The sequence below is a fragment of the Homo sapiens genome, chromosome 12 (assembly GCF_000001405.40).
Source record: "Homo sapiens chromosome 12, GRCh38.p14 Primary Assembly".
Taxonomy (NCBI): domain Eukaryota; kingdom Metazoa; phylum Chordata; class Mammalia; order Primates; family Hominidae; genus Homo; species Homo sapiens.
The window spans coordinates 132171395-132183774 of NC_000012.12; the positions used below are offsets into that span (position 1 = coordinate 132171395).

Here is a 12380-nt window from a genome sequence, read left to right on the forward strand (position 1 = left end):
CCAAAGCATCCGAAAGTCCCCGAAGGGCCACATTTTTCAGCCGTTCTGGGCCTGTAGCCAAGAGGCCCCTGCCCTGCCCACTGTCACCTCCCCAGGGGGCCAGGCCAGGAGCTCGGAGCCACCCGGGCCCTCCCAGGTGCAGCCCTGGGAAGGCAGCCCCACTCCTCGGAAGCTGTGTTTGCTCATCTGCAAAGGGGCGAGTAGAGCAGGGCCCTCCCAGGGCCGATGGAGGCTCAGGCGCTTTCTTGGCCCTGTGGGGCTCAGAGCGAAGGTATCACGGGTGGGAGTGGAGGTTATTTTCCTACCCTTGCCCCATGCGGAAGTCCTGCTCTTACCGTCAGCCACCTGTACATGTCTCTGCGCCTCCTTCTCCACACACAGCCTGGCCTGGAGCCCGTGGGCCTCCTGTCTCCCTGCTGGGTGCTGAGCTCAGCAAGGGCAGGGGCCCTGCAGGGCACTGGCCGACCCTCTGTGCGGCTGCTGAGGAAAGAGGGAATTACACGACCATGCCCCTCCATCTCAGGCTTGCTCAGGGCCGGAGGCTGCTCCAGACGCCTGAGTGCAGCTTCATCTTACCCCACAAGCTTATGAGGCAGATGCTGAATCTTACAGAGGAGGAAACTGAGGCCCAGAGAGGCACAGCAGCTGGCCCAACGTGGCACAGCAGCACAGGCGGGGCAGGGTTGAGGCCGTTCCACCGTGGGCCCCAGTGGAGCTTCCCCTCTGGAGCCAGTGATCCCGCTCTGGGACTGGCCTCCATGCCACTCTCTTGGCCGGGGGGATTCGTGCATCAGACCTGGGGCAGACAGGCTGCTTGTCTGATTATTGCTCACTCGGTTAAGGTGACCCGGGGGGTTTCTCCGTCCTGGCGACACCTCCCTGTGCACTGGAAGGTGACCTGTGGGTGACACTTCTGGGTAGTCGAGTATCCCATCCCAGTCCACCTCCCACCCGGCGGCTGAGCACCCAGGAGGGCCTGACGTGGGTCTGTTGTTGAGTGGGGATTTTCCATGCTGCCCGTGAGCCCGGAGCCCACCGTTCCCGCTGCCCATGAGCCCGGAGCCCGCCATTCCCGCTGCCCGTGAGCCCGGAGCCCGCCATTCCCGCTGCCCGTGAGCCCGGAGCCCGCCGTTCCTCCGGGAAGCAGAACTCCCCTCCCCATCCCTTTTCTTAGACTCAAGGATTCTGTTGTAATTAGATATTTTTACTGTTTCTCTGCCCTTTTGAATGGTGCCAGGCCTGTCCCCTGTGTCCTTGAAATGCCCCCGTCACTGTCTGAGCAAGTCCTCAGGTCGGAGAGGTGGTCAGCCCAGACTCAGCCACTTCCCCAGCAGCCCTGGGCAGGGGTGGGGGACACCGTGTGCTTTCCTGGGTTCACGCTGGCTGCTGAGTGGAAGAGGCCGCAGGGGCGAGGGCGGCGGCCAGGACCGATGAGGAAGCAGCTGCAGGGACTCCAGCTCGAGCCCAGGGCGGCCTGGACCTGGGGGGCAGTGGGGGTCTGAGAAGTCAGGTCAGGCTGTGCATCAAAGGCAGAGCTGACGGAATTTGCTGCAGCAGCCACCATGGGTGGAAAGAGCCGCCAAGGCTGAACCCGACGCCCTGGTGTGATCACTTGTGGGGACAAAGTGGTCGCTAATGGGATGGGGGGCTTGGAGTGGACTCTGAGGCTGGGGAAAGGAGGGGTTTGGTTTTGCAGATGCTGGACCTGGGTGTCTCTGAGAGGTCCAGACGGAAAGGCACGTGGCGGGTGGATTTAGGAGGCTGCAGTTCATGGAGAGGTCCAGGCAGCAGCAGGTACCACTTGGAGATGACAGGTAACGGATGGTTTCTAAAGCCACAAACAGGGCGAGGCCCCGGGGAGAGGGCAGGCCTGGAGTCCCGCGAGGATCCGTGGTTAGAGGCGCCCTCCCACACCGCCCACAGGTCTGCAAGGTTTGCACGCCTCCGCTCTGCAAGGAAGCAGGTGCAGTTAGTTCCCTTGGCCTTTCCCAGCACAGGGAGACGGCGCGTGTGACCCGGTGATCTGTTGGGGAGGGGAGGGGAGGAGCAGGCAGCACGGGCGTTTGGGGGCTGCTGGGATGGATTTTGGGGTGATGGGAACTGAGGAACCAAAGGTGCTCCATGGTCTTTGGCTTGAGGGATGGGCGGGGTGGCATTCACTGGGAGGGGCACTGTGGGAAGAACAGGGTCTTCCTGTGGGGAGCAGCATGGACCTGTGAAGTCTGCAGGGCCCGTGTGGACCAGGCAGGTGTGCGGGGCGGCGAGGCCGGACCCAGGCAGGTGTGCGGGGCGGCGAGGCGGGGCTCCGACACCGGCTTTCTGGACACCCAGAAACAAGAGGCATCATGGAGAGACCCACAAGGGCTGGGGGAGGCCAGGCCCTCTCCAGGGGTCAGGCTGGGGATTTTGGTGTCTGCCAGGAGCGGCAGAGAGGAGGGGAGTTTTCGGGGTCCCCTAGGGGCTGTAGCGGGCTGGATGGTTCATGCTGCACTCAACCCCGGGACCCATTTTCCATGTGTCCCTCCGGCAATGGGAGGCCACTGGGAGGCTGCAGACACACACTTGGGTTTTCAGCGGCCTCTGCTGACTGGGACCCACTTCTGATGCCCTGAGCCCCCACTGCTGGCTGGGACCCACTTCTCACATCCTGAGCCCCCTCTGCTGACTGGGACCCACTTCTCACGTCCTGAGCCCCCAGTGTGGGTTGCCGCACAGCCCGGCCACCCCGGCCGAGGGCACGTGGCCACGTGGCGTTGGGGGCTGGGAGCCTCGGGACTCCGTGGAGAAGGGGCTCGGCTGGAGCCTCTCCTGCGGCCTGGGACGCCTGGGCTTTGCCTCTGCTGGTGCCGGGTGTCCACTGGGCCACCCCACCCTCTACTCCTGGATGCGCATGTCCACCCCAGGCCCACTGTCTTCAACAATCCAGAAACCTCCAGAACCTTCTGGAAAGACAGGCAGAGCAGCAGTGGAGCGGGCGTGAGGGTTTGCGCCCTGCTGTCCCGGCTTCTCCGAGCTTCTGGCATGTGGACCACCCTGCAGGCTGCTCACCCAGCACTCGGCCTTTGGGGACCTTTCTCCACTGCCAAACCAGGACACTCGCCAGAGGGGCCATGGGAGAGAAACAGGGCTCCGGGGGCTGCGGGGAGAGGCTGTCCTGGGAGAGATGGCGGCTTTCTCCTCCTTTTTGTTGCCTAGAATGTGAAAGTAAGGGCTGGGGCTGCAGCAGCCGCCGTGAGACCTCCAGGAAGGGAGAAAGGAAGTGAAGACACCTGGTTTTGATGTTGAACTAAAGCACCTGATTTACGGAAGGCACCGTTTTGTAGGGGTTTCTGTTTCTCACAGCTGAAGCTGACCCTTAGCCCATCCCCTCTGCCAAACAGGACGATAATTTGGGTTTTGTAAGAGGACTCACTAGGAAGTGGGTGTCTGGAACTTGGAGCCAGTGGAACTTGCTTCGTGATCTTAGCTTAGTTAGAATACAGCTCAGCTGTGGGCGTGTTTTCTGTTGAGCTGCTTTAGATAAGACGGTAGATCACCTGCCAAGTGAGGTGAGCGCATTGAAAAGCGTGAGCTGTTGGTTGAGGCAGGTCCACCCTCAACGATGTGGTCTCGGGAAGTGGGAAAACATGCTCCCGATTCATCTCAGAACACAAGGAAACGCCTCGGACGGCAAAATAAACCCTGGTAGCCGGGCTGCTCTGGGAGGTGAGGAGGGCTGGGCTGGGCTGTGAGGGCCCTGTGGTGGAACTGAGGCAAAGCGGGGGGGTGCTGCAGGGCTGGCCGAGCTCAGGAGGAGAGGGGGGCCCCCAGGTCCCTGCCCACCTCGGCGAGGAGCGGACAGGGCGGCTGTCAGCTTCCCAGCGGCTTTCAGGGCTAACTGCTGAGCCACTGCCGGGCGACCCCCACCCCCACCACAGGCCTTGTGGGAGGTGTTGTGCCCTGGGGCTGCCGTGCAGAGGAATGTGTTCCCTCCACACCAGAGGCCTGAAGCCTGGAGCTGGGGTGTGGGAGGTCCTGGTCTCCCTGGGGCTCCAGGGCAGGGTACATCCCAGGCCTCTCTGGGGTGCCCCGTTTTGGTACCTCGTGTCCCGTGGCTGCGTCCCTCCTGCTCTGGCCTGTGTGTCTCTGTCTCCCCTCCTCTCCTTACCAGGACCCCACCCTAAATCAGGGTGGTCTCTTCCCAAGCCCCTCAGCTAGCGGATGTGATCCTGGTGTGCGTGGGTCATGGGGGCCTCTTTTTAACCCGCGGGACTGTGGCATCTGGACGTGGCTCTTGTGGAGGGGCTGAGTTCTGAGAGTCCCCAGAGCTGAGCCTGCTGAGGGCTGCGCAGGGCCGTGCTCCCTGGCCTGGGTTTCTGGGGCTCTGATAGGGCACCCCCAGTGCCAGCCCCACACGGGAGGAGGAGGCAGTGTTGGGCCCGCCCCTGCCCCCCCACCCCCCAGGGCTGCCGGGTCCCACTGAGGGGATCCCACCCAGGCTTCGGACCCCGCAGCTCAGCTCCCTGCTCAGCCCCCAGCTCAGCACCACCGTCAGGGCTGAGACTTGCTGTCCACCTGCCCCACGTGGGTCCTGGGCGGAGCCGCTGCTCTGGGGAGCCTGGCCTGGCCGCCCGAGGTCTCCCCACACCCAGAGCCTGCTCACCTCGCCCTTGGCTGGCTCTGCCCACTCCCAGCCAGAGGGAGCCTCAGCCCAGAGCCTTCCAGCAGCTCCCACCCCCTCAGAGCCAGAGCCAAAGCCCTCACCTTGGCCCTGGCTGCACCCCTGAGGCCCCGTTTGCTCCGGGAACACCCCGGCATTTGCCTCCGCAGGGCGGCCCTCTCTGCCTGGAGGCTCTTCCCCGACGCCACGGGCGCTGGCTGCCCTTCCTGGGGCCTTGCTCCCACACCTCCTACCCCGCCGCCGAGCCGTCAAACGGCCCCAACCCAGGCTCCCGGCCCGGCTGGTCCCCTGTTCCTGCTGCAATACAATAGTAGCTGGAAGCTGTTTGGTGGCTTCAACAACCCATTGATCCTCTCGGCTCCGTGGGCCAGAAAATGCAGTGCGGAGGCAGCCACGGTCCTCCTGGAGGAGCTGCTCCTGCTTTCCCAGCGTCCGGAGGCCGCACTCCTGGGCTGGGCCCTTCCCCTCCCTCCTGGCCTCCGCTTCTGTCACCACATGCCCTGTCCCCTCTGACACTGACTTCCTGTCCCGTGGGGGTGAATACATGCAGCCCCACCCTGTCACCCAGGCCGCCCTCCCGGCAGAGGGGAGGCGCATGGAATGGGGCTGCAGGGGTGAGGTCAGAGGCAGCTGCGGGGACCCTGATGATGCTCTGGAGATGGGGTGGCTGACAAGCAGGACTCTCTGAAACCAAGTCCAGGCGAAAGGAGCCGCCTCCTGGGAGCTCGAGGCCCGGGGTGTTAGCTTCTAGAAGCCGGGGGTGCTCTAGACCCCTGATTCTCAAAGTGGGGTCCCTGGAGCACAGCAGCCCCGGGGAGCCTGTTAGGAATGCTAGTTCTGGGGTCCTTCTGGCTCAGAAGCTCCAGGGGTGGGCCTGCAATCTGCGCTTTTGCAGGCTCTGGGGAGTGCTGGCTCCAAAGCACCCCATCGCGGCCCTCTCCCCCACATCGCTGGTCTGAGGACAGGGTCCCTCCTGCGGAGACTGAGGCTTGGTGGAGAATGTTCGCTCAGAGGCGTCGCTCTGCCCGGCGACTGGCTGCGGGCAGACATAAAACTTGCTCTTACTGTAAGGATGGATGATGTTTCCTAGAGCAGTTACAACTCATTTTCTGGGGATTGACAGGAAATTAAATTAGAGGGCAGTCACGAGGGGGAGGAGGCGGTGGGGAGTGACTGGAAGTGCCGTGGACTGTGCAGACGCAGCAGGGACAGCCTGGAGCTGAGACCGGCGGCTTTCAGCTTGTCACGGGCTGGGCGCAAGACTGATGGACTCACCTTTGAGTGGCACTGCAGGGTCGTGGGGTCTGTGCCCACTTCCCTGAGAGGAAAGGAGTGGGCTGATGGGTTGCTGGGCTCCGTGGGGAGGCTGCACGCCGGGTCTATTTCCAGAGCCCCTAGGCTCTAGGAGGAGGCGGCCATGCCCTGAGTCACAGGCAGGGGCCTGACGGGCCCAGGAGGGGCTGCACCCAGACCCCTTGCCTGGCTGGTGTCATGGGTGACCCACAGCCGACCACCTTGCTGCAAGGGTCCCTCAGCCAGGAAGAGACCCCTTGGCCCCATTCCACTCATCCCTGTAAAGAAGGGATATAGAAATAAGAAAAGAGAATATTTTCTTATTTCTTCTAAAATAAGAATGTTTTCTTATTTTTTCTAAAGTAAGAATGTTTTCTTACTTTTTCTAAAGAATGTTTTCTTACTTTAGAAAAACTATAGAATTTACAACTAATTACAACTTTATTAAAATGAATAACATAGTTATGATATATAATTACTATTTACAATTATAACTGAAAAAATGGTAGAATATTTTCTTATTACAGACAAAACAGAAAAGCAAAATTAAGGCATGAAAAAAGTCTTTGTAAACTCACTAGTGCTATTTAATCACTGTGGTATTTAGGTATGTTTATTTCAAACCTTTTTATATGCATATACAAGTACATATTTTATTTACTAGGTAGAATTATCGTTTATATACTTTAAAGGCAAAAATTACCTTTATTGAGGTATGATTTACGTACAATAAAATGTGCATTTAAAAAAGTATTTTTTCTGCCGGGCACAGTGGCTCGCGCCTGTAATCCCAGCTCTTTGGGAGGCCAAAGTGGGAGGAGTGTTTGAGGCTGGGAGCTCGAGACCAGGCTGGGCAACATGGCAACAAAAAAAATTAAAAACTTAGCTGGGTATGGCGGTGTGCACCTGTAGTCCCAGTGACCGGGGAGGGTGTGACGGGAGGGTGGGGAGCCCGGGAGTTTGAGGCTGTACTGAGCTCAGAACCCGCCCCCCCCACCCCCTGCACTCCAGCCTGGGCGACAGAATGAGACCCCTGAAAAGTGTTGGTTTCTGACTTTTTTCGTTTTTGAAATCGTTTCCGGCTGGCCCAAGTCGAAAAATAATGCAGATGTCTCCAGCTGTCCCTGAGAACACTTCCTGTTCCTTGATCTGTGGCTTGTGATTCTCCCCCCGCCCCCACTCCCCTTACATGGGGCTGTGGCTGCCCCCAGCCTTTCCCTTTCGTGACCTCAGGATTGTATGACTGCAGGTTGGGCTGTCCCTTGGGATTCAGGGCCTCAAATGTACCTGCTGACCAGTTGAAGAGTGCTGACCAGCTGTCCTGCTGAACACCTCTCAATCTGGATTTTTGACATTTCCCTGTGATTAAATTCAGGGAATCCAGCTTTGGTGACAGAGCCACTGAAGCAAGGCTGTTCCCTGCTTGGAGACGCACCCACTTTACACGTGTAGGGTGGCGAGTCTGACAAACGCAGCCACAGGCAGCCCCCACCGGGGGAGCCGGACGTTTCCATCCACCCAGACAGCAGCGTTCACGCCCAGGACCATGTGGGCCTGCGCCCCGGGCCGCACCTGCCTCTCCTGCATTCCGTGTCTGGCATCTTGTGTCGTTGCCACCCTGCGTGCCATGTCTGGCTTCTCTCTCTCAGCGAGTGTCCTCCGTGTCTCCGAGTCGCGCCCGTTCTGTTGTGCGTAAATGCCGTTCTCAGAGCTGTTGTTTGTTTAGGGATGTATCATGTTTTCAGCTTAACATTTGTGCCATTCGTGTGCCCTGGCGAGCCCCGCCCCCTCCAAGTTACTGGCGTGCTGTGGGCGTTCTCGGGTTTCTACTCTTCCTGCTGTCGCCAGCGCAGCCGAAGCACCAAGCAGGAAGCTCTGCCGAGTTCTTGGCTTCAGGTAACGTGTCAGACCCAGGGCATGAGCTCCAGTCCCTCTTGCCTCCACAAAGGACAGCACATTTCCAGTTCAGGGTGCTGTGGCCGACACCGTGCGTGTGGCTGGGGCCAGTGTCACCGCGAATCTCGGCTGCTCCACGCCCTTGCTGTGGGCTTGGGGCCAGTGCTTTACCTCTCTGGCCTCAGTTTCCTTATCTGTTAACAGGGTTGGTGTGAGAATGAATGAGAAGGCATGCACAAAGCGGGGCACAGCCTGCCCCAAAGCAAGGTCCCGATCCAAGTAGCTGCCGTTATTGCTAATAGTGGTCCCAGCGGAGCCACAGTTGCTGAACGGTCCTGCAGAGATGTCCCCTTGGGTACAGGGCCCCCAGGGAGGAGCTGGGGACAGAAGGCAAAGCAGCTGGATCCACCCATGCCTGCAGCTTGCTCTTTGCTTAACTGGTTGTTAGAGTTGTCTGTGCAATGGCTGATGGGGATGCTGACAGCTCAGGAAAGGGTAGGGAGAAGGAAGCTCTGTCCATGGTGGGCGGCCTCCGTGGCTTTGGTGGGCAAAGGTTGTGTTTCTGCAGAGCCATGTCTATGTGAGCTGGGGGCCTGGCCAGGCTCTTCAGGACTGGCTGGAACCCCTGGCACAGGCAGGGCCTGGGAGTGGGGCTGGCAGGGCAGGCCCTTCCTTCTCTGTCACCCACCACCTGCTGTAGGGAATGGGTGAGAGTTCAAGCCCCTGGCGGGGTTGCCTGGAGGTCGATGGAAGGAGGAGCTGCTCCTCGTCAAGGCTGCCCCAGCTCGAGTCCTTCCTTGAGATTAGGGCTGCAAACATACGCACACGTGCGTGCACACATACACACATCCATGCACACACGTTCATGTACACATCCATGCAGGCACACAATCCATGCACACGTGCACACATCCGTGCACACTCACATCTATACACACATGCACACACATCCATGCACAAGCACTTCCATGCACAAACACATCCATGCATGCACATACACACACACACATCCATGCACACGCACTTCCATGCACAAACACATCCATGCATGCACACACATGCGCACAGACATCTATGCATACACACACATATCCATGCACACATACCCCTCTTGCTCTCTTGGACATGTGAGGGCACGGTGAGAAGGTGGCTGTCTACGAGCCAGGAAACAGGCCCTCCTAGGGCTGGGGAGCTCGTGTCTCATGGGGACAAAGCCTGAGTTTGGAAGATGACAGGTTCTGGGGGTGGGGGTGGGGATTTCGGCTGCACAGAGGCCTGACTGCTCTTAATCCTGCTAAAGTGCACTGAAAAATGTGACGATGGTGAGTTTTCTGTTATTAAATGAAATGATATATGTATGATTGTATGTATTCAATATCTGCATAAAATGCATATTACGTGTATTATAATACATATAATTTTACACAATTAAAAAATGAAAATAGAAACGAAGCCAGCGCAGCTGCTGAAACAGAGAAGGACTTAGCAGACTTGCAGCTCCGCGTGTCTCCGTCACGGCCACTGCGGGAAGCCTCCTCACTGCTGGGAGGGCCTGTGGGTCTCGGGGTGTACACTCGTTCCGGCCCACGGGTGCCCCTGCATTCTGTGGGGCTTTGGGGGTGTCTGTGTGGGGTGCACGTGGACACCACGGCCCTGAAAGGTCTCGTGTTGGGCACTTCCAGGTTTGCAGGGAGTGTGGGCTCCAGGGAGGGCAGGTGTCGGCCCCGAGGGGAGAGCTGGGGTAGGGACCTGCCCCATCCCCGACGGCCACGCCGAGTTCTCATGTTTTACACCATCTTTGTCCTTGAGCCTTTTACACACTCAGCAACATGCAACAACCCCCTGACACACCTAACACACACTCCCATCGCCAGTGCACACATAGCACACATGTTTGCACACTCACCCTGCACAACTAATATGGCACACTCACCCAGCGCACGCTCACACCCAGCACAGGCTCAGCACATGCTCACACCCCACACAACACACACAGCACACACACAATGCACGCTCACACCCAGCACAGGCTCAGCACAGGCTCACACCCCACACAACACACAGCACACACACACACCTCAGTACACACATCCTGCACAACTCACACCGCACACACACATGCTCAGCGCACGTTCACACCCCACACAACTCACACAGCACACACACGCACAGTACACACACCCAACACAACTCAAACCACACACACACTCAGTACACACACCCAACACAACTCACACAGCACACACACACACACTCGGTACACACACCCAGCACGCACACATAGTACACACACCCAGCACAACTCACACTCAGTACACACACCCAGCACATGTACCCACCCAGCACACGTTCACTCGCACCCTGCACAGCCCAGCGCGCACACACCCAGCAGACAGCACATGCTCTCACATGCTGGCATCAGCCGTCAGCCTCAGCTGCTGGAGGGTGTGGTGGAGGCGGGCGGTGAGCGCTGGGTGCTGGGGTCCACGTCCTTCCAAGCCCCTGCATAGCGGCCGCCTTGGCTGGCGATGACTGGAGGGGGTGAGGGGTGAGGCCACCAGCACAGGTGTGTCCCTTCACTGTTTCCACCTCGTGTGCCCGCCACGCTGTCTTCCTGCCGCTGGTGAAGTCTGTCTCCCCCCCCCCCCCCCCCGAGTGATGGGGCGCCTCCGACTGCCCGGCCACGGTGCCTGCACCTCCGCTCCTCCTCTCCCTGCACCCTCCAGGCCTGGGGGCCCCGGGGCTGACCTTGACCTTCCCACCCGCCCAGGTGTGGCCGGGACAGCACCGCAGTTGTGGCGCCCCTGGGTGGGCAGGAGGGCTGGAGAGTGTGTGGTGTGTGAGCCTCGTGTGGCTGCGTGGCGTGTGTGATGTGTTTCATGGGTGGTGTATTGTGTATGTGTGTGTTGCGTGTGTGGCGTGTGTGGCATGTGTGGCATGGTTGAACGTGTGCTGGTGGAGGCAGCCGTGGCCACTGACCATCTGCCCCTGGGCGGCAGGAGGGGGAAAGCCTTGACTCTGAGCACTCCCAGGTGCACAGGTTCCGCAGGGTCCATGCGGGTGGGAAGTCGGTTTCTCTGCTCTCCACAGTTGAGTATTCCTGGAGAAGATGGCAATGGCCCAGGGTGTTGGTGGGAGAGGGGCTCACGATGGGAAATTCTGGGGAAGGAGCTAAGGGCGGCGCGGGTGCACAGTATGCCCTCGATAAGTGCCTGGGGAATGAATGTGTGGAGTCGCGTATCTGTCCTCGGGTGAACGGTGCGTGGGGCCGCGTGGCTGTCCTCGGGTGAATGGTGCGTGGAACTGTGTGTCTGTCCTCAGATGAACAGGAGTGGGGCCGGACGTCCCTGTGTCCCCCTGGTGTTCCTCTCCTTCTCTCACTCTCTGTGGCTGTTTCTCCTCTCTCTGGGTTCCCTGAGAGCCCAGCCTCTTGGATCTGCCTCTCCCAGGCACTGCTCCCTTTCAGCTGGCAAACAGTCCAAACCTCCCATCCTAACAACAACAGAAAATGTCCCCCCAGGCCTCGCTCTTCCTCCAAACACGAAACCATCCCCCTTTATGTTACTTAGGAGTCATTGGGTTGCTAGTGACAGAAAAACAAACCAAAACTGATTCAGGCAATCGGGAGTGTGTTGACTCCTATTGGTAACTGCCTTCAGGTGTGGCTTGATCCAGGGCTCAAATGGCCACCTCTGCTTTCTCTGGTTTGGCTCCATGTTCGGGCCTGTGCGGTAGCCCCTGGTGGCTTCAAGCTCTTGTCACCACAACTTCCAGCCTCTGGGAGTCTTTCCCATCCCACGAGTGTCCCAAGAGTCATTCTGGTCAGAATATTCTTGGTTGGAGCTCCTCACCGAGCCAGTGTGGGGGCTGAGCATGAGTGTCAGATGGTGCCACTTTCTCCTTTCCAGCCAGACGCCTTTTCTTTTCTTTCCTGGCATGATGGCACCGGTGATGAGAGCTCCAGTGCTGGGCTGAGAGAGCATGGTGACACACTCACCCTGGCTGTGCTCCTCTATTGGGGAAAGCGGTCTTCTCTCACTGTTGAGTAAGATACCAGCTGTGGGTATTTTTGTCAATGCTCCTTACTGAGCTGGGGGAACAGAGCTCCTCTCTGTTCCTTCTGAGAGTTTTGGTCATGAATCCATGTTGAATTTTATCACGCTTTTTTTCTGTGAGATTGTGTGATTTTTTTTCTTAAGCCTGTTAGAATTGTGGATTATATTGACAGATTTAAAAATAATTGAACCAGACTTGTGTCCCCGGGTTAACCTTCTCTTGTACGTGGCATATGATTCTTTTCATATATTGCAGAATTTGCTAACATTTTGTTAAGGATTTTTCCATCTATATTCATAAGAGATATTGGTCTGATTTTCTTTTTTGGTACGATTTTTATCTAGTTTTGGTATCTGGGTACTGTTAATCCATAAAATGAACTAGAAAATGTTCTCTACTTTTCTATTTGCTGGAAGAGCTGCATAGAATTGGGGTAAATGTTTATTTAAATGTGTGGTAAAATTTGCCAAACAAT

At 58.2% G+C, this 12380-nt stretch overlaps 1 annotated feature.

The window, feature by feature from the left end:
* Positions 7038–7558: an enhancer, noted in NCBI's record as "H3K4me1 hESC enhancer chr12:132662977-132663497 (GRCh37/hg19 assembly coordinates)". NCBI's record gives its function as "activates a minimal SCP1, AML or CMV promoter by ChIP-STARR-seq in naive H9 embryonic stem cells {active_cell/tissue: H9 hESC(naive)}" and the evidence as "EXISTENCE:reporter gene assay evidence [ECO:0000049][PMID:30033119]".